General features: G+C 37.6%; 1 protein-coding gene across 6 annotated transcripts in view, besides 1 other annotated feature; it reads right to left on the minus strand.

Moving 5' to 3' along the window:
* The window catches only part of EFL1 (elongation factor like GTPase 1), a 132,502-nt gene that overhangs the window by 60,889 nt on the left and 49,270 nt on the right, over positions 1–22,343 (minus strand). The gene's annotated exons all lie outside the window — the stretch shown is intronic.
* Positions 7,139–7,198: an enhancer, noted in NCBI's record as "active region_9960". NCBI's record gives its function as "activates an Ori minimal core promoter by ATAC-STARR-seq in GM12878 lymphoblastoid cells {active_cell/tissue: GM12878}" and the evidence as "EXISTENCE:reporter gene assay evidence [ECO:0000049][PMID:35858748]".

A 22,343-nucleotide genomic window follows, 5' to 3' on the forward strand; every position in this document is an offset into this window, starting at 1 on the left:
CCCATCTTTTCTCCTTGGCTACTTCCCTACTTTTCCCTACAAATACTATGCATTATTCACATTGCAGTAAGTTACACCCATTCACTGTAAAAAAGAACAATACAACACACCCTGAAATCTTTGGGGCTACTAATTTCTAAAAAGGTTACTTCAAGCGTAAAGTTTTCTTTTATAAAAAAGAAAGTTTAAAGTTTCATCACTCAAATGTAGCCTATCTAAAACACCTGGAAATGATTTCAAAGTTTCAAAGTCACTATTCTGATAGGTATTACTTCCAACCTAACCATTACTGGCCTTTGAAATATAGAAGCTAAAAGCAGACTGCACGGATCAAATACTATAGATAAAAGCATTTTGAAAAGCATACGGTACTATGAAAACATAAGGTGGTAGTATTAAAAATGGATTTCGACATGAAATCCCAAACTCATTCATTTCAGTGATTCCTTAGTGCTTGGATGAGGGCAAGCACTCATCCAGTGAGTGCTTTCATCCAGATCCAGTTCAGCATCTTACTGGGATCATTTCAGGCCAGTCAGCTTTAATCAAATTACACTCTATCCATACATGATTAGAAACAAACTGAGGTTTTGGTCAAGTGCCACAGTTTTTCACTCAGGGCCATCATGCTCACTTTCTTGGAAGACACTTGGAAATTATGTGATCAAATCTGAAAGTAACTTTTCAAGAGGTGTGTGTGGTCTTTCTGACAAAGAAGAGCTTTATATTTGCGACTGAGTTAAAATCTCTGGCTGTAACTAATTAGCGATAAAATAACAACAATGAACATGGAATACAAGCTAGAAGAAATCTTAGACTCTAAAACACATGTTAACAGAGTGAAATTTATAATATCTGCTATTATATCTCGTCTATCAAATATAGCCAAGAATATGGAAGAAAAAAATTGTTAAAGATAACACCTAGTAGGAATTTTTAAAAAACATCTGCTGAGACAAAGAAGGCTGGGCATATTGTATGTAAAAGTAAAATTACAGGCCAGGCACGGTGGCTCATGCCTGTAATCCCAGCACTTTGGAGGCCGAGGTGGGCAGATCATTTGAGGTCAGGAGTTCAAGACAAGCCTGGCCAACATGGCAAAACCTCATCTCTACTAAAAATACAAAAATTAGCCAGATGTGGTGATGGGTGCTTGTAATCCCAGCTACTCGGGAGGCTGAGGCAAGAGAATTGCTTGAACCCGGGAGGCAGAGGTTGCAGTGAGCCGAGATCGCCCCACTTGCACTCCAGCCTGGGTGACAAGAGTGAAATTCCGTCTCAAAAAAAAAAAAAAAAGAGTAAAAATACAGTAAGTAAAATGAGGTGTTTTGAAAACGTATGGAACCTACCGAAATAATTAAAATATAAGCAGAGGGAGCAGATTTAGCAGTGACAAAAATTAGAATTATTCATGGATAACCAATTCTTAGTAATCATGCAGTCATAGCTCACTGCTTTATGCTTAACCAAGAGCTTTAATAAACATTACATTATTTGGGTTTCACAACACCATGAGGTGGAAAGCCCTTGTGAACTTATAAAGAGAATAGCAACAGTAATGAATTTGAAATACAACAAAAGAGAATCTGAGAAATTGCCCAGGGACAGAGATTATACACACTCATAGCACAGTGGCTCTTGACACCACGTAAGCAAGAGCTCAATACATATCTGTTGAACTGCACCAAACTGATAATACATTCAATACCACTTTTATTAAAAAAAGAAAGAAAGAAAGAAAGAAAGAGGTAGGAAAAAAAGTACAAAAGCACCTGTGAGAGGGGAGCACTACAGGAAAAACTATGGAAGGCTATAAGGTGATTTGTGATCAACGGTTATGTCAGAGAAGTGGTGGCAAAGATGAGGAGACTGTTATTTTGACACTTCTTTATTGTCTGGATTTTCACAATAAGCATATATAACTTTTGAAATTCAAATGAGTGAAACCAAAATAAAAATGTGCCAGCTAAATTTGTTAACAAAGAATAGGTATTGCTTTTAAAACAAAAAAATTCAAATTTTGTATTTTTTAAAAATGAAAGCTAAAACACCCTAGGATTTTGCTATAGTTTGTGACTACTGGATCCTGAAAATGGAACAGTTAACTTAATGATCAAATATACTTGACAGAGATCTTGGTGGAGAAAGAAATTTAGATTCCATTAATACATATTGAGCACCACCATCAGATATTAGACACTGTATTAAGCAGCTATGCAGTAACTTAGGACTTAGAAAGTACCTCAACTCAATTCATGCACATCCTTCCTTATCTATAACCAATTATATCCCCTTCCAGCTTTATAGATAAGCAACCCCTATACTTTGAACACAAAGTCAAAGATAACTATTTTCTAGTTATCAAAGGCTTCTATTCATGAGAGTCCATGGCATTATTACATTTAAGAACAGTTAACTTGTCTTTATTTTGCCTAAGCTTGGAGGCACTTAGCTAGAGTAAAATTTGGCAAAACAAAAAGATGACTCATTTTGTCAGGCACTGTAAACTGCCTATCAGAGGACAAGGTGTATTTTGCAACTTAAATTCTGAAAAAGGTCATTCTTCCCTCCTCTGGCTCGTAAGTGATTGACTGTTAGGGACTACACCTAGCTTTCTATTATATGTCTCCTTTAAATTAAGAGGACAAATCTATTATTTGGAAATACACATGGCTCAATCAATTGAATGTGCTTACAAAAATCTTCAACCTCTTTCAAGAACTCTTTACATGCCGTGCAAACTATTGTTGCATTTGGGCTCTCCCACCCAACTCGCCGCCTTCACTCTCCTCATTCTGGAAAACAGTGCTGTCGCTAACACGGTGAGCAGCCACAGTGGCTGAACCAGGCTACTCTCTGTCTGTCTTTGCTTGGCACTGGAAAATTCCTTTGTCTTTATACTTAGCAGTAGTGTAATCTTAGAGAAAGAACTTTAATTGAAGAAGACTTTACTGAAGACTCACTTGGGAGTCCCTAGGTGAGTTTAAAACAGATCATTGAAATCTTTTCCACAGCTGGGTTTGGTCAGTAGTGCCATTGGGCGGACTGGATCTTCAGCCCAAGCACAATCCCAGTTCCTTTATCGGGAGGTATCTATACCATTCTAGACTAGACCAAATTTCGCTCTTCATTTTGATAAAACCAAACTGCTTCCTAAGATTCATTCCATAAATATTTCTTGAGTATTTTGTGCAAAGCAGATTACTAAATACTGCCAGAGACACAAAAATGAATCCGGCGCCATTCTCAAAGAACTTGTAATGTCTAAGTCTTAAATTGCTAGGACACAAAGGAGAACATTTCAGTACTGACTTACATTTAAAGAATGATCTGAAAAACACAAAAAGCAGCTACTAATAGAAATAAAATAGGATATACCTTCCAAAACATGAGAATTTAAAAATGCAGAAAAGTATAGTCAAAAATGCACTTACAGAATTATTAAAATCAAAGCATAAAATAATCAAGGACAGAATATATCAGTGATAATAAGGGTGACCACATAGAACTTATCATCCGAGCTACGATTTTAAACGGTGAAAGGCGACACTATTAATAACTTCTCCAAGATGACAGGCATAAACAGGATGTCCTCAGCAACCCACGTTGTAAGGCCTCCCTAGTTATGAAAATAAATAGCTTGCTTTACTCAAAAAGATAGATGAAGTTAGTGGGTTCAAATGCTCAGCTTCTCTACTTTTCCACAAAATCTAGTAGTCAATGTTTTCGGAATCTTGTAATCAATGAGGCAAAGAAAACAAAATAGGATACACAGAAAGATTCTATGATGAATACAAAGAACAAAACTATGGATCTGCTATATTTTAAAATAAACTTAAACTTGGTAATGACTTGTGACCTTGGGAAATAATGTATTTTTATATCACGTAGCGTTCAATATCAATACATTCAAATTATTGTTATAATTTTACTAATAAACTGTCACTTTCTACCTGTTTGGGCTTTTCTTAAAGACAATTTTATATTTTAGCATAGGTTTAATGAACTTGGTTTCGGTTATAAACTTGTCTAACCTCATAAGGGGAAATTTTTCAAATGTATTATCCAAAAAACTCTGGATGTATCTGAATTATGTAGAAATCAGACTTTAATGAGCCAAACTCAAATCCAGAAAACACTCAAAGTTACTCTGAGGAGTGAAGATATTTAGAAAGACCTAAGTAAGACTAATGTTCTGTTACCCACAAACTCTTAGAGCTGTGTTTTCAGGCTGTAAACCGTGCTAGTGTATCTCATGTCTGGGCAGATTAATATATCTACTAATGAAAAACACACACCCAACCTCGTTGCCTACTCTAAACTGATGTAGGCCCTTGGGAGAAATTAATTCTTGGGGAACACAGTGAACATGAGAATCAACGAAGATGTACACAAGCTGGTGGCCACATCCTAGAAACTCAAGTTTCCTAATAAGCTGGACCTCCAGTCTCTCTTTGTGATTTGCTGTCCCTCAAGTTTCCCATATGTAACCTAGAAGCTAAACGCCAACAAACTAATGAGTAACTGTAAGAATATCTCCTAGAACTTCCACAGACTCCATTTTCCTCCTGCTCAAACTTCTATTCCATTTCTGTGCTCAGAAGCAGCACCTGGGAGGGGAGCACACAGTCATTCATTTATTCATTCCCACCCACACTTGAACATGCATCCTAGTAAAGTGCACCCAGGCTCAACATCAGAGATATGCCTAAAGAATGAGGACCCTTGCCCCAGGAGCTCCGAGACACTAACTGAAAACACAAACAATGTAAAGGAATCAATGTTCTAAGGGAGATCTATTAAAAGAAGTACAGGAACTCAAAGAAAGGAAAGAGCCAGATGTATCTGTCTGACGCAGTTGGGGAAGGCTTCCAAGAGGCGGTGACATTTAGCTGGCAATGAAGGGAGAAAGAACACTTGAGGAGAAGAGACAGCGTGTACCGAGACACAGAGGCATGAAAATCGTGGTATATTCAGGAGTGCTGAGAACTGAAGCATAGGGAGGTCAGAAGAAGCAGACAGTGAAGGGTCTCTTTCCAAACTGAGCAGAACTGACGAATCCTCACTGTCAGCTTCTCTCTTCCTTTTGAGGAGCCCAGCTATTTCTCTGCCTGTCCTTTCCAGTGGTTTTGCCCCTTACAAAGGGAAAGACCCGGGTTCTAGATCAACTCTCAAACTATCAGCTGCCCAAGCTTGGAGGAGACCCAGCCTCTCTGTGAGTCTCAGATTATTTATAGGAGAAAGGGCCTACAGAACCTATGAAACTCAAGGGTTCTATATGCAGAGTATCAAAAATCATTAGAGCATATTTTCATTTTTAATAATCATAGTAAGTGAGAAGAATCAGTAACAGTGTTTCAAATAATCTCAGCTATACAACTACACAGAAAATAAAATTATAGCTAATAAGCAATGGCTGGGATAGTGTAATTTGCTGAGCAAGTCAAAATCCTTTCAGTTTTTTAATATGCAAAATGAAGAGAAATTTACCACTAAAGTTTGTTTCAAGGCTTAAGTAAGAAAACAAACAAAACTGACTCAGTGAACACCTGGCATGCAGTTGGTACTAAATAAACGTTGGTTAAATCTAATTTGATATATCTTTCAAGTGCATTAATAATTGTGGCTTCGGCCGGGAGCGGTGGCTCTCGCCTGTAATCCCAGCACTTTGGGAGGCCAAGGCGGGCGGATCACGAGGTCAGGAGTTCGAGACCAGCCTGGCCAACATAGTGAAACCCTGTCTCTACTAAAAATACAAAAATTAGCCGGGCATGGTGGTGGGTGCCTATAATCCCAGCTACTCAGAAGGCTGAGGCAGGAGAATCGTTTCAACCCAGGAGTCAGAGATTGCAGTGAGCCGAGATTGCACCATTGCACTCCAGCTTGGGCGACAGAGCAAAACTCCAACTTAAAAAAAAAAAAAAAAAATTGTGGCATCATTGTTAGTATCAGTTAACAAAATATATGCAAATATAGTGAAACTGATTATGTAAACTGTTTAGAAAGTGAAAATTTACTATTGTCATTTTAGAAAATTGAAGGCTTGTGGTTTTGAAGAAAAACAACTATTATACAATAAATCTACTAATTGCTCATTTTGTTTAGAGCTAAAAAAAATGTTCCTCTTTCCTTTCCACCCCTATTCCCAGGGGACAGAAAATTTACCTTTGATTTCCAAGCATATCTGATTTCTTCCAGTCATTATAGAGTCAAATAATAAAACAAATTCAGATACAACAGTGAAGGAATAACAACTTTTACTTCAATTCTACACTTGAATCAATAGACTCAAATCCTTAGAAATATGATCATCAATGCAATTATGTGCTGAACTGCTAAATTAACAGTCATCTGGGAAACATAAAACAAAACTAGTGACAATGTGCTTCTAATTGCATGGGGGTTCAGGATATTAGTGATATTTTATATTCTGCTTCATTGCTCACTAAACAGCATATATTTTCATAATAATGCTTTTTTCCAACTAGAAACAACCAAAGGTGTCATAACTCAATTTCCAAGATGAAGAGAAAACAAAAATAGAGAAAATATATACAGTTGAAACAATGCCTTTAGTAGTTGGAAGAGGGGTAGGAGGGGCAAGAGAATGAAAAAAAGGGCCAAAATAAATTTAAATGCCTGCTTTGAAGTCATTCTTCAGGTTGAAACAGCAGGCTAAATCAATTTCAACTCCTCTATATTAATGATTCAGTCATCTCTAAGCCTCCAGTAATAAAAAGTGCCTGCCTGCCTGCCTACCTGCTGCCTGCCCTGCCTGCCAACCTGCCTGCCTGCCATGTGTAAGACTCTGGGCTAGGCAGGGGGATATAGTCTATAACCTACAATGAGAAGTCCTGGGTTGTGTTAACGAAACTGTAGCACAGTAAAGCACAAAATCTACTGAGCATTCATATGCCGTTAACCCTAAGGCCCTTTATAAACAGTTACAGGCTACACGTTTTACACATGGGCACTGGTGTGGACAGAGCACAGGCTCATGCATGCGCTGACATTGAAATTGCACTCTGTTTCTCTGTGATTTGATGAAAATCTGTGGGAAAGGCTGCCCCCTTGTGTTCATCTCAGTGCAGTTGTGACCCTGCTAGAGCTGGAACATTGCAGATGCCTTTTACCATCATCCCATGATGGCTTCAGAGAGGGGACTTCGGCCTGCTCAGTCTCTACCCAAAATCAAGGCCAGTGTAAACGAGAAAGTGCCAATGCTTCTGAGCTCGTTCAAGTCCAAGAAAGCCATTCTGGACCTCTCCCGAGGCACAGCCAAGTGAGCTAGTCCTCATGGATCCAATCAGGATAACTATTTTGTTTTGTTTAAAAAACAAAAAACTCCTGCTTATGAGAAGAGATCTTTGGAAGGATGGAATTCCTCTATGTCAAATGGCCTCTGGACCTCTGGCTGTCTGAATGTCACTTAAAGCAACCCACAGATAGAGAAGAGGGCACAGAGGGTACTGAAAACAGCAACGTAACTAAGAAATACAGGAAAACCCAAGACATGGACAGTGGAAAAGGTGAGGAAGGGTCCTGGAAAACCAACCAGGAGAGAAAGGAAGGCCATAGAGATTCATCTACCTCAACTTCCTTCTATGCAGATGCAGTTTCAGGTCTGGAAATTCCCACAAAGTGGCCAACTTGCCAGAGGTCCCACTGGTAAAATCCAGTGCTGTTTCTCCAACCAGAGGATGCCTTATTTACTAGTTTGCGATCAAAACTGTGAAGCACCTACAAATAATTTGGAAGACTAAGCACCCAGTATGAGAAACCTAACCTAGTGATCAATATAGAACCAAACATATAGTAAGCACAAAATAAATGTGAGTAAATGATTAGGATATAAAATTAAGCCAATAAAGATTTCACTTTTCAGAGGAAAAAATAGTTCACTGCATTAAAAAAAAACAAAACCTGCTTTTTTTCTTTTTAAAAATCTTTGGATCCTGAGAAAGGAAGGCTTATGAAAGACACCTTATATTCCTTCCTCCCTCTCTCACATCCTTCCACCTCCAAATCCCAAGTCCAAAAACAGATAAAATTAGGGAGAGGCTATGTCAATGCAGGAAAAGGTCTTATCCAAAAGCCAAAAACTTTGAAAAATGGAACTAGATTAAAGGCCACCCAGGTATATTAGAATTAACTTATGACACTAAGATAGCAGTTGGTTGCTCCAGAAGTTGAGAAAGAGAGAGAGAGAAAGAGAGAGAGATCCTGGGCTTCACAAATATCCGAGAGTAAGAAGGCCAAGGGCATAAGTCTTTGTCTCAGGGAAGACCCTCAGGCAAAAGTAGTTCTGGCTGCTGCCTTCTGGCTCAATTGGAGACAGCTAGGACTGCGGCCCGCAAAATAAGACCTTGTATGAAAATGGAAAAGGCTACTCCCTCAAAAGAAACTAGTGCTGGGATAATTTTAACTGTTTCAAATCATTTATTTGGTAATAATAAAGAAACCAGAACAACATAATGCTGGGTTTAAGCTGCAGTCCCAGCTTTAGCTCCCTAGTGAACTTATTTAAATTCACACACATGAATTTATTTCTTACTATGTATGCATGTATTATGCATAGATAGAAGTCTGGAAGAATACACCGATAACACCTGTAGGAATCAGCCCTAGGAAGGCAACTTGCTTAGCTTTTTCTATATAATTACCTTTACAGTAAAAGAGTGGTCATAATTTACTTCTGTAAATAAGATGTCTTAACATAGACATTTAATGTATCGCAGGAGATAAAATCATTTCAAGTTTATATAGAATAAATGTTTAAAAATAGCCCCCAATTATTAAAGCTAAAAGTGACAGAACCAGATTCAAAAATGAATTATTGATACCCTCAAAATCAAACAATACAGGCTTGCAAATACAGCAGAATAGAAAACAGCATCCAGAAACAAACTACAGTTGTATGGGAAACGTGGTAGTGAAACAGCGGGGAAGGAAGCAGGGGCAGGGGCAAGTTTATTTGATATACTGTGCTGGCACAACACCTATGCATCGGGAAAAAAACAAACCTGAATACCCAAGCTTATGCATTACCTGGGTCATGCCCTAGAAAGGCTTAGCCAGGCACATGAGAGTTATAGAACGTAAAACATTCAAAGAAAAACACAAGGAAGAGTACAAATGCCAAAATAAATGGTAGAAAATAAGAGAATTTTTTTAAAAAAGAGGGAAAGCAGTAGTGGAGCTTAAGTCTATACAGCACACCTATGAGAATACTATACAAAATAACAACTTTAGGCAGAGGCAATTGAGTCTTGCCTTCCCTTGGCAGCAACCTTAGCTCAGGAGACTGGAAACCGGCTCCAAGCAGCTTCTGGGGGGTAATCTTGGCTTTACAAAAGCCTGGGACAATGTTCTCCCCTCCTGTTGACTGGACCATGGCACAGAGAAAAGAACAGAAAGATACTCAGAATATTTCTGCTTCTCTTAACATCAAATGGCCTCACCTTTTTCAGTCCAGGACATACCTGGGAGCCTCCCAGAACACAGTGAGGGCAGGAAGAACCAGTTAGTTTCAGTGTACTATCTGAGCTAAACAAAAAATCCCCAGTGATAACATCATCTTGGCTCTGGGAGTTGAATAATCCGAACACATTAAAACATCACTACTCTGATATTCTTTAATAAGAAATGTTCAGACCAAGAAAGTATTTTGCTTTCACCTAAAATTCCAGTAGATTTATACTGAAAAGCCAATGTATTCACTTCTAAAGAAATATTTCTATACTTTCTATCTCCCTTATGTACTTGAGAATTTTTTTTTTAAGACAGTGTTCCACTCTGTCACCCAGGCCAGGGTGCAGTGGCACGATCACAGCTCACTGTAGCTCCAACCTCTTGGGCTCAAGCAATCTTCCACCTGGGTAGCTGAGACTACATGCAAGTGCCACCATGCCTGTTTTTTTATTTTTCTATTGTTTGTAGAAACGGGGTCCCACTATGTTGCCAAGGCTGCCTGAGAATATTTTAAACTTTGAAGAAAATAAATGATGAACACTAAATAGCTTCTGGCTGCTCATGTATTCCCTCGCCTAAGCGTATTAAGTGATTAATTGATTCATGCATTCAACCAATATACATTGAACACTCAAGAGATCTTCACCAGGAATAATTAAGTGTGAAGATTTGGGAGGCCCAGTCCTTAGGGAATTTGCAGTTAGTCCTCTCTAAATCAGCAGGTCTGGGTGTTAGGAAGGTAAAAGCTCTGTGCTCATCTACAAAGGAGAGGGGGACTTTCTTCCCTAAGCAAAGATAACTAACTCTCCTCACTCTATGTATAAAACCAGAAAAAGGCCAAGTGTTTTTTAAAAGACCATAATATATTGTGTTCCAGGGAAGAATCTACGTGCTTGCAACCCCTACTGCTCTTAACATAATTCTGGAGGTTCAGTTGAGGATTTTCCTTGTAAACGATATCTTAAAAGAATAAATATATCCTTTTATTTTAATAAAACAAATTATACTGCAATTGTGTGGGCTGCTTTGTATTTGTGAACCATTATTTTGTCAGAATATCATTTTAGAAGAACATATGCCCATTTTTATAGTTAATAACTTCTTGCAAAAAAAAAAAAAAAAAAAAAGAACTCAAACTTTCACTCTGAATCTACCCCACACAGCTAATGGCTTTGTTGAACAGGCATATGGCTTGTCAGAGAAGAATCTGGGACAATATGGTTACTACTGTTTCCTTCTCCACTTTGTCTGTAAGCTTGTATTAATACATATGCCTCCCAGTAGAAAACTCTCTCCCTCCTCCTACTTTAAGCCACAGGTTCTGCATCAGCCACTCCTCCTTCTCCAAAATGTCTACTTGCGGAGTCACACTCCAACCCGAATCTGGAGTGGGGCTCCAACATCAATGTTGACAATTCAGGAGTTTTAAGGATTCACTCCTTTTGCCTTGGTTCTCAGAAAAACTAATTCCCTCTATCACCTCTGCTATTTCAAACTTCCTCTTAAAAGCTATCAAAAAGTTTTGAATCTTTGCAACACTGAATAAGAATGGAGAGGGAAAGTCAGAGTTTCAGCAACAGACAGTGAATCTGATTTCTTTTCTACATATATTGCTGGACGACGTCTTTCAGATCAACTTCACTAGAACAAAAGAGTACTTTTCCCCCAGAAAAGTACTCTTTTCCTATTTTTTTTAGTAGCCTACTTAAATTCTTTGGATTAAAAAAAATTGCATTTAAATAAATGACATTTTTTAAAAGGGGAAAGCATTCTTTAATCTTCATAATTAAGTGCTTCACTTATCATTTTCTTTCTTTATGTGTGACTTTGGAGGTCTATTTGTTAATTATAATATTTCCCAAGGAAATCAGTGATAACAATTATGTTGCTTAATTGACATTTTGCTTTTTGATATTTTTTTGAAATGAAATAATGTGCATCATCCCACAGGATCTTCGGAGCTGCCTTCCATGATCCTCAGCTCACAAATAAGAAACCAAGGATCGGTGAGGCAGAAGAGAGGATCAGAGAGGTTGAAGAGAAGATCAGAGAGGCCTGTTGCCCAGGGCTACAAGGCTTAAAAGTTAGCTGAACTAGAATTTTAACCCAAAATATTCTATTTCCAAATTAAACACTTTTTACCTCTCTACTCAATTATATGGGATAAATTCTACAAGACACCACCAGCAAACTCAAGGAAAGATATTAATAGTGTTCCCTAATTTTTTTTTTTTTTTGAGACGGAGTCTTGCTCTGTCGTCCAGGCTGAAGTACAATGGTGCGATCTCAGTTCACTGTAACCTCCGCCTCCCGGTTTCAAGTGATTCTCCCGCCTCAGCCTCCCGAGTAGCTGGGGTTACAGGCATGTTCCACCACACCTGGCTAATTTTTGCATTTTTAGTAGAAATGAGGTTTCACCATGTTGGCCAGGCTGGTCTCTTAACTCCTGACCTTGTGATCCACCCACCTCAGTCTCCCATAATGCTGGGATTACAGGCGTGACCCACCACGCCCAGACTGTTCCCTAACTTTTTGAAGAAAAAACTCGTTAATATTTAAGATATAAAAACAGGTAAAAGAAAACTAAAACAGACAATATAGGTCCACTACTCATCTTAAGAAACAGACCTTAACTAATACTTGTGTATTTCTCCTCAGTCATGTCCTCTCTCAAGACAACCATTAACTTGTACTTACTGTTTATTTCTCTGTGCATTTATTTATTTTTTATTGCATATATATCTGTTCTTAAACAATATATGGCATGTACATGTTTTGTTTTTTGGGTTTTTTTGAGACGGAGTCTCGCTCTGTCGCCCAAGCTGGAGTGCAGTGGCGTGTGGCGCAATCTTGGCTCACTGCAACCTCTGCCTTCCGGGTTCAAGCAATTCTCTGCCTCAGCCTCCGGAGTAGGTGGGATTATAGGTGCCCACCACCACGCCCGGCAAATTTTTGTATTTTTAGTAGAGACAGGGTTTCATCATGTTGGCCAGGCTGGTCTTGAACTCCCAACCTCGTGATCCACTCACTCCCCCTTGGCCTCCCAAAGTGTTGGGATTACAGGCGTGAGCCACCGCGCCTGGCCACATGTTTTTAACCTTTATATAAGTGGTCTGCAACTTGCTTGTTTTTAAAATTAATTCTATTTGTGAGACTGACTGAAGTTGATACATATAATGTACTTCATTCATCTTCACGAATGTATAATATTCCATTGTGCACCATAATCTACTTATCTATTCTTCTGCCAATGGATATTTAGGGTGTGTCCCTTTTTCTGCTTTCATAAACAGTGCTACTATAAATATCCTTGTACTTGTCTCTTTAAGAGTGTACTTAAAGCTCCTCTAAGATACACACCTAGAAGTGGGATTGCTACATCCTGTTGTCAAGTATTTTTTCAAGTGGTTGTATCAATTTACAACAACAGTTTACAAATGTTTGAACTGCTCCATATCTGTAACACAGAACACTGTCAGATTTTAACATTTTTGTCATTTTAATGGTTATGAAAGGACATTTCACCGAGATTTTAAAATGCATTTCCTTGATTACTTCACATCTAATGTCTGCCACATGTCATGTTTCAGGTCATACTAGAAACATGTTTCTCTATCCAGTATCACCTTTCTCCTAATCATATACTTTACATTTTCTGGAAAGACCGAAAGACCTGCCAAGTCTTTATAATAACTGCCACTACTCAAAATTCATACTTACTGTTATAACTGAAAATCACCTTTCCCCCAAGCTATCTTCATAGTCTTTAAAAAATACCTTTCCTTTTGGAAATCAAAAAAAAAAAATCTACTTAACCAATTTACCCCTGTCTTACAACTTGCACTCCAATCAGACTATATCAATTTATGGGCGTAAGAGAGTATATTTCCACCTTCTTCAAAGCCCTTTTGACAATCACTTGCTTTTCTGTTGGAAAAAATCAAATCTGAACTTATCAACCAAAAGACTATTGTGTGAACCATCAAGGATATCTTCCTAACCTGCATGAAACCATATAAATGTCAAATTATTTCTCCATTCTGTCATGTGCCAAAAATACTAAGAATAGAGGTCAAATGTCTCACTATCTGTTCCTTGAGCATGACCTTTGCTTGGCTCATTACCGCCCACCTACTCTTTCCTCCTTCCTATATCTGACATTTGACCTGCTAGTGTCTTATTAGTTTAGCTAAATTCCAGGCTCTGGCCTCTCTGGCCTGCCCAGTGTTGGCATGACAACTATGCTGATAAATACTCAACTCACGAAGTATGTTTCCAGCATATCTTTGGAAGAGAATATGATCTGCAGTCTATTCATTATTATGTGCAAGTTCTAAATACAATTGTTCACTTTTTCAACTACTGTACCTGAAATAGGATTAGTAGGGCCAAAACCACAGATGGAAATGAAGAAAACTGCAACAAGCCTATCAGCTGAGTTTGCAGGAGGTGGCTCTATGGCAGGGGAGACTGTCCCCTCTTTCCCAACAGGAAGCAAGAGGACCTAATGCTTGAGAGAAGATGGTCTCACGAGCATTTCCTCCAAGCTTGTAACTAGGGAAGCCCCAAATCATGAATAGCCTATAGTCCCTCTGGCACTTTACTCAAGACAGTCTTATATTTCAATGTCTATGCAATGCTCACTGGACTACCCATCTCCACTTCTTCCCAGAACCTCATTACCGTCCAATTTAGTCAAGGTATAATCTAATGATTTGCTAGCAAATGCTCGTTGTGGCTTTTCCATGCATCTACCAGTTTTCAGAATCTTATTCTGTCCAAAACCTTCCTTCTTAACAGATGGCTATGTTTTCTACATTGTTGAGTTGGAAGAGACTATAAACCTTGTATTATTGACCATTTAAGTTTTTCATTGCATCTTTTATCTTTCCTCTTTTCCTACCTATTTTCCACTGATACAACAAGTATAATCAAACTCCAGTAAATACACACACACACACACACACAAACACACTCCTTTGACTCAACTATTCCTTCAAACTGTTAACCCATTTTGCTCCTTTCTTTAACTGACAAATTTCAACAAAAACTGTTCCAATTATCTCTCATTTCATCTTCCCTAATTATCTGGCCTCTACATTGTTAAATGTCATTTAAGAGTAAAAGAGGAATATACTCTTTGAAGATGGAGGGGAAGAGAATTCCCATCAAATAATCCTTTGTTCTTATACAATATCTATGGCAGCAATGGGCTTATTAGTAGATAAACAGTTATTAGATTATGAAGCTGTATTAATCTATGTGTTCAAAAGAACTTATATAGTCATTGCCAGTTACTTCAGACAGTGAAAATGAGAATTAACAGACACATCTTAAGTTGTAAAATAAGCATTTTATCAACCTGTATGCTAACAATCTGATCTGGGTGATAGACAAGGGGACTCCCACCTTCCCATAACCTGCTCAGCAGCTTCAAGAGCTAAAGAAATCAGTGGCTTGTCACATCTGTAAAAGGCAACTGTAATCCACTAGTCGCAAAGCATTGAATTAGAGTACACATAAAAATATGATAAAGAGAATATAGCATATCAAATAAAAGAAATTCATTCCAAATTATACTAAGATTCAGACCATAAATGATTTCCTTTGAGAAAAAAACAAACCAAATCTCAATTAGAAAATTAAAATATAAAGTCATCTATGATAAGCAGGAACCAAGACTTAAAGATGATACATAATATATTAGAAGAATTGTAGTATATAAAGAATGGGTTATTTAAGGGCAGAAGGAAAGATACAATGTAACAAGTCATCAATAAGACATCAAGAGAAAAGGAAAAAAACTCAAGTAATATGGAAACATATTAAATAACTACAGATACAGAAGTAAATATCCCATCTTAATAAATATTATTATGGGATCAAGGAAAGTTACTTAATCTTTGTGTCAATTTTCCCATCTGTGAAATGTATGTATCTCATTTGGCAGGGAATAAAGAAGATAATCACTTCCGAATATTTAGTATAATTTCTAGCACATAGTAAGCTCTAACTGATGTTAATTATTGTCATGAATATAATCAGTATTAACACTGGTCTCCATTACAAATAAACTGGATAGTCAATCTGATTACCTATGAGCATAAAGTACCAAAACTGACATAAGAAACAGTAAAAAGAACCTGAAAGGGACAATAACAATTAACAACTAACCAAATATAGCTGACTTCATGGGTGCTAATATCCAAAATTTTAGGGACCAGAAAATTGCTATGCCATTTAAACAGACTAGAGAACAATAAAAACCATCCCCTAATTTGTGATTTGTTTCATGCACCTAATATAATGCTGATATCAAAACTCCACAAATACAAATATACACAAAAAACTACAGACCAAACTTACAAATATAAACGTTTTACTAAACTACTGACAAACTGAGTTCACTGCTCAATAATATACTTGAAATACACTCACCTAATACTGTATTCCAGAAATAAAAACTGGCTTAATATTAGGAAATGTGTTAATATGATTCATGGCATAAGAGGATCCAAAATAAAACCCTCGTATGTGTCACCTGAAAGATGTAGAAAAGACCATTTGATAAATCTCATTATCTACCCACATTTTAAAAATTAACCTAGTAAACAGAAAAAGGAGGATACTTCCTTTTCATTATAAAAAACTAACCCTAATCTCAAGGTAACATATATATATATTTATGTGTGTGTATATATATATATATATATATACACACACACATATAACATATATAGATAACATGTATATATAAATTCCTCTAACTTAACAAATGAAACAAAGATTCTTATTGCACCACTATTTAACACTGTTCTGAAAGTTGCAGCAAATGCATTTAAACGAAGGCAGGGAAAGCTATATTCAAAGAAGGGATTGTCTCCAAGAGAAAAATATACAGGTTAAAAAACAGTATAGGAAGTATGATTTTTAAATTAAAAAATGCTACTGAACTGTGTACTTTTTAAAATAGTTCAGATGGTAAATTTTATGTTGTGTTTTCTTACCACAATTTTAAAAAATATGCATATATATGGACAGAAAAAGACTGATGGTTACCCCTATAGTAAGCAATAACTCTTATTTAGCTTATCTGCATTTTCAAAGTTGAGAATAATTGATTGATTGATTTTTTTTTTTTTTTTGAGAAGGAGTTTCGCTCTTGTCACCCAGGCTGGAGTGCAATGGTGCGGGCTCGGCTCACTGCAACCTCTGCCTCCCCCGGGTTCAAGGGATTCTCCTGCCTCAGCCTCCTGAGGAGCTGGGATTACAGGCACCCGCCACACACCCAGCTAATTTTCTATTTCCAGTAGAGATGGGGTTTCACCATGTTGGCCAGGCTGGTTTTGAACTCCTGACCTCAGGTGATCTGCCTGCCTCGGCCTCCCAAAGTGCTGGGATTACAGGCGTGAGCCATGGCACACAGCCTTATCTGCATTTTCAAACGGACCAGTATGATGGTTTACACTATACTGAAAGTCATCTTTTAAAAAGAACTTTAAAACATTAACTATATATAAAACTATATTAAAATAAAAAGACAAATTTCATAATAAAGAAATCGAACAAGAAAACACAAATATACAGAACTGAAAATGAGAAAGATAAAGTTTACCAGATGGAAAGAATCAAGTATTTTATGCACCAAGCCCAGTTAGTTTTGCAAGTGAACTATTTCAAAACTTTTGAAGAAAAGGTAATTCTTACGTCATATACACATTTCTCAAGAGCAGCACTATACAATACGGCAACCGCTAGCCATACATAGTTATTAAGCACTTGAAATATGGCTAGTGCAACTGATGGGTAAACTTTTAATGTTATTTGAATTCAATCTATTTAAATTTAAGTAAGTGAATGTACCTAGTGGCTACCAAATGGAGAGTGCAGCTGTAGAGGGTAAAAAAACGAAAGCTTCCCATTTTAGTATTATGATACCAAGAAACTAATGGCCATTTTAACTTATAATGCAAGAAAAGTCTGGATAAAATGCTAGTATGTTGAACCTAATAGGGGTTGAAAAGAATATGCAATGATCGAGTGCTGTTTTTTTTAACGCAGGAATTCAAGGACGCCTTAATAATCAGGAAATTAAATATAATTCATGACATCAATTACAGCAAGGAGAAAAACTCTATAACTTTGTCTTCAGATGCTAAGAATGCATCAATAAAATTCAATATCCATTCCCGATTATTAAAAAAAAAATACTTTCCCGGCACAATAAATAAGAGACACCATGAATCGACAGGCATCAGCAAACCTGAAACTAAAACACCAGAAGTATTCCCATTAAAGTCTGGAAGGAACTAGACAAAATAGCAACTGTAATTATTATTATGTACCATATTCTTATAAGCAATATGAAAATAAAAAGAAATATGACACATAACTACTAGGAAAAAAGAGAATAAAATCATTACTATCTGTAAAAGAAAAGCCATTAAAATCAGTTGAAACTCTTAAAACTAAGAAATGACTATTAGGTTTTCACTCATTAAAATAGATTATCTTCAAATGGAAATGCTGATAATAAAGTACATTTAAAAGAAATTCACTAGTAAGTGAATTTAAAACATTATAAAAGTATCACAAAGTCTTAAGAACCAAATTCTACTGAGCTTTCCCTTGAAATAAATTAAATCAAATTTGCTAGTAAAACCCTTCAAAGGTTTCTGACGCCTAGGTTACCCCACATGACTAAGGATTCACACACAGACACAGACACACACACACACACACACACACACACACACACACAGATTATCAACACTGACTTCCTATTGACCCAGCAACCAACCATGGCAGACCTAAAACCAGTTCAGAAAAAGGCTAATTAATATTTATTTTCCTCATGCTGTGAAAAGAAGAATATCATGTTTCCTCTCAGAATATGTCCTTGAACTTTTAAAGATTTAACCATATGGAAGAGATCTAAAGGAGTATATGAAAAGGCTAAAGATTTGGAATCCTAATTCAATTTCCCCTCACATTTTAATAGGAGCCTGCAGCAAATATTTATTTTTAGAGATATTCTCAGTAGGGAAAAGAACAAAACGCTATTGTGTGCTAAACATGGTGAGGTCTCTCTGGTCCCATCTATACCAACTTTATAAACATCAGGTTAGAATTAAATAACTTTAAACTTTAAATCAACTATTTCCAGACCACAAAATCTATTCTACACTTATCGGCACACATAAGTTCTCTAAGTGACTTATAGCTGAGTTCAAATGTGAAATCTGGATTTTTCAAGTGCCAATAAAAGAACTTTCCTTCGGACTTTGACTGAATAATGCTGAATTGTCCAAGAATGCCATGTAATGTTTTCATTTCCTTTTCCAACAAAAATTTTCATCTGCACTTGATAAATTTACTGACTCCGTATCATTTATGATGAAAAGCATATGGGTACCGATCATATTGGTCTCCACTATTTTCTTATTAAATAGGAATTACAACTTTTTCTCAAAGTTTAACAAAAGTAAAAAAAGATGAAGTTTACAGGTGTGCCCTGATCACTATGAACATCTCTTTATATGTGTCCTGTCATGAGTCTGTTAAAATGCAAAAGGAAACAAGAAATTATCTACGATTAGCAATGTGGTCATTTTAAAACATAGCCACAAATACTTTGACATGCCTCCCATCAAAAGGCAGAGTCAGTTCCCTCCCTTTGAACATGGGCCAGCTGCAGTGACTCACTTCTAATAAACAGAATGTGGCAGAAGTGGGGCTGAAGGCTTTGAAGGCTAGGTCATAAAAGGTGATATACCTTCCTCCTGGCTCTCCCTGTTGGGTTGCTTACCCATAAAACTTTGCCACCATGCTGTAAGGAAGCCAAGCAGCCATATGGAAAGGCCTTAGTTCTACTCCCAAACAAGGTTCCAGACAACAACTGGCATCAGCCCCGAGACATGTGCTTGAAATAGCCTCCATATGACTTTAGCCCCCAGGCTTTGGGCCATCTCAATAGACACCACGTGGGGCCAGGTGCAGTGGCTCATGCCTGTAATCCCAGCACTTTGAGGGGCAGAAGCAGGCAAATCACCTGAGGTCAGGAGTTCAAGAGCAGCCTGGCCAACATGGTGAAACCCCATCTCTACTAAAAATACAAAAATTAGCCTGGCGTGATGGTGGTTGCTTGTAATCGCAGCTACTCGTGAGGCTGAACCTGGAGAATCGTTTGAACCCAGGAGACAGAGGTTTCAGTGAGCTAAGATTGCACCATTGCACTCCAGCCTGGGCGACAAGAGGGAAACTCCATTACAAAAAAAAAAAAAAAAATAGACACCACGTGGAAGAGACAAGCTATTCCCACCAAACCATGCAAGAATGGCAGATGCTTGAAAAAATAAGAACCATCTTTATTTTAAGCCACTAGGCTTTGAGTGTTAATTATTATGCAACAACAGGTAACTGGAACACATAGATTATTTCAGCCCAATGCAGCCATCTTATTCTTTCCATTTCAAAACTACCTGAGAAGACAAATCTGTTTCAAAGAAAAAAAAAAAAATGTTGACATTCCTGGTCTCAGTCAACTCACCCTAGAAAGCCAAAAGCTGGAATCCCAGCATTTATTACCTGTGGCTGCCAGCTAGCCTTCTCTTGGGCAGTTTTCTTCTCACTCCTTAATATACCAGACTCTCGGCTGGGCGCGGTAGCTCATGTCTGTAATCCCAGCACGTTGGGAGGCCGAGGCAGGCAGATCATGAGGTCAGGAGTTCAAGACCAGCCTGGCCAACCTGGTGAAACCCCATCTCTACTAAAAATACAAAAAATTAGGTGGGCATGGTGGCACATGCCTGTAGTCTCAGCTACTCAGGAGGCTTAGGCAGAAGAATCGCTTGAACCTGGGAGGCGGAGGTTACAGTGAGCCGAGATTGTGCCAATGTACTCCAGCCAGGGTGACAGAGTGAGACTCTGTCTCAAAGAAAAAAAAAAAAATCTATATACACACACACACACACACACACACACACACACTAGACACATACTAGACACACACACACACACACACACACTAGACTCTCTGGCCTCTTCTGTCCTGTCTTAAACTTACTCCTAGCTTTGAAAAGTTGCTTTTATTAAACACCCTGGCTTATGAGACTGCTGCTACTGCTAACATACGCTACACATTTTTAATCAAGGAACAAGTAAAATTTGCCTAAAAAAGTAATTCTATGACTTTGAGGCAGGTAACCAGTTCAAGATGTTTTAATGAAGCCATTAAAATGGGTTATCAATCAACCCAAATAATCATATCAAAACATTTACTCTTCCTCCTAATAAACACTAGGGAGGGAAATATCCTAATTACTCAAATAAGGTTTTTCTTAAAGAAACACAGCCTAAATGTTAAAAGCTAGAAGCAATCGTGAAGATAATCTAGTTTAGAACTTTTTTTAAGCCACTGGGAAACTGACAAAATCCAGGGAAGATCTTCATGACTTAAGTAAAAAATGTCTACCTCACTCCATCTCCACCTAGGATGTCAACCTGCCATCATATAATGACAATTTGAAACTTCAATTCTGTTTGTATTTTACCAAAAAAATTACAAATACAATTTTGTTAGTATTTTATAGCTACAGCAATAAAATGTACTCCATGCAATGTTATTTAATGTTTTATCTTTAAAGTTTAGGATTATGACAAATCCCAGTTAGGATAAACAAAAGTATCCCTGGGAATCCATAGTCTTCTTATAAAAAATTAAAAGTGGCTGTTCTATTTCTATCATAAGAAGTATTAGTAATCATTGCCCTAGTCCAAATCATTTGGGAAAACAAGCCCAGCAAGGTTACATAACTGGCCTGAGGCCATAAAACTAGTTAGTGGCAATACTATGGCCAGAATTTTGGTATACTCATGCTTCCTAGTCATGCAGGGGACTCAACCAGATTTCAATTAATAAAAGAAAAACAATTACTATATGTTTCAATTCAAAAAGCCCCATCAAAGTGGCTGGCTGCATTTCAGTTCCTTCAATGTTACACTCAAAATCCTTCTGGTAGACTATCTTTCTCTTTAATGTAAAGAAAACAGAACCTTAATGGAGGCACCTCAGGCATCACCAGGTGAATGGAAGGCGAATGCAGCCAAGAGTGTGGACTGGCTATTCAAAAGCCATTCACAACCCCAATATCTTTTGCCTTAACTACAGAGGCTGGAAGAGTAAAACACTCAATCCCAGGGCTCCCTGGCAGCTAGAGAGGATATATGACAAAATTACAAAAATGAGCATATATACAGAAGTCACTAGAGAGGCATTTCTTTCCAAATAAAAACATTAATCCTGTTAGAAGGTCTTGACCCTTGTGCTCTCTTCCTGCGAGGAATGTGGGTATGATTCTCAGAGATATAAGGCCATCTTGCTTCTACGGGGACAAAAGCCACATGCTGAGCCACTGGCTCCCTGATGACACAGAAGAGTCATGACACCAGCCCTGGACTGTCCACCCTTGGGCTTTCTACTGAGTGAAGTTTAAGACTATGCAGTTGGTTTTCTGGTTACTTGCAGCTAAATACAATCTTAACTCTTATAGGAAATAAATCTGGCTTTTCCTCTTCAATCCATTTTTTCCCGAAGTGGTTGGTTGTCCATCAGGCTTAGTCTTATATAAGTAAATTTGGTAAACAAAGATTTAGTCACCTTCATCCTTACCCCATGTTGTGCTACCATCTCACTTTTTTAAAAGGTCAGTAAAAGACATCAAGGTATATCTCTTCTCCAAGAATAAATGAAAAATTTTAGCTTATAGTAGGTTTGTCTCCCCGTACCATATGGCAGAGCCAAGGCTGCCTTGGGAAGCAGAAGAGAGAGAAATGGTATCTCTCCTTATACACCACTTAACCTCAATCCTGGA

This window comes from Homo sapiens, chromosome 15 (genome assembly GCF_000001405.40).
Source record: "Homo sapiens chromosome 15, GRCh38.p14 Primary Assembly".
Classification (NCBI taxonomy): Eukaryota; Metazoa; Chordata; class Mammalia; order Primates; family Hominidae; genus Homo; species Homo sapiens.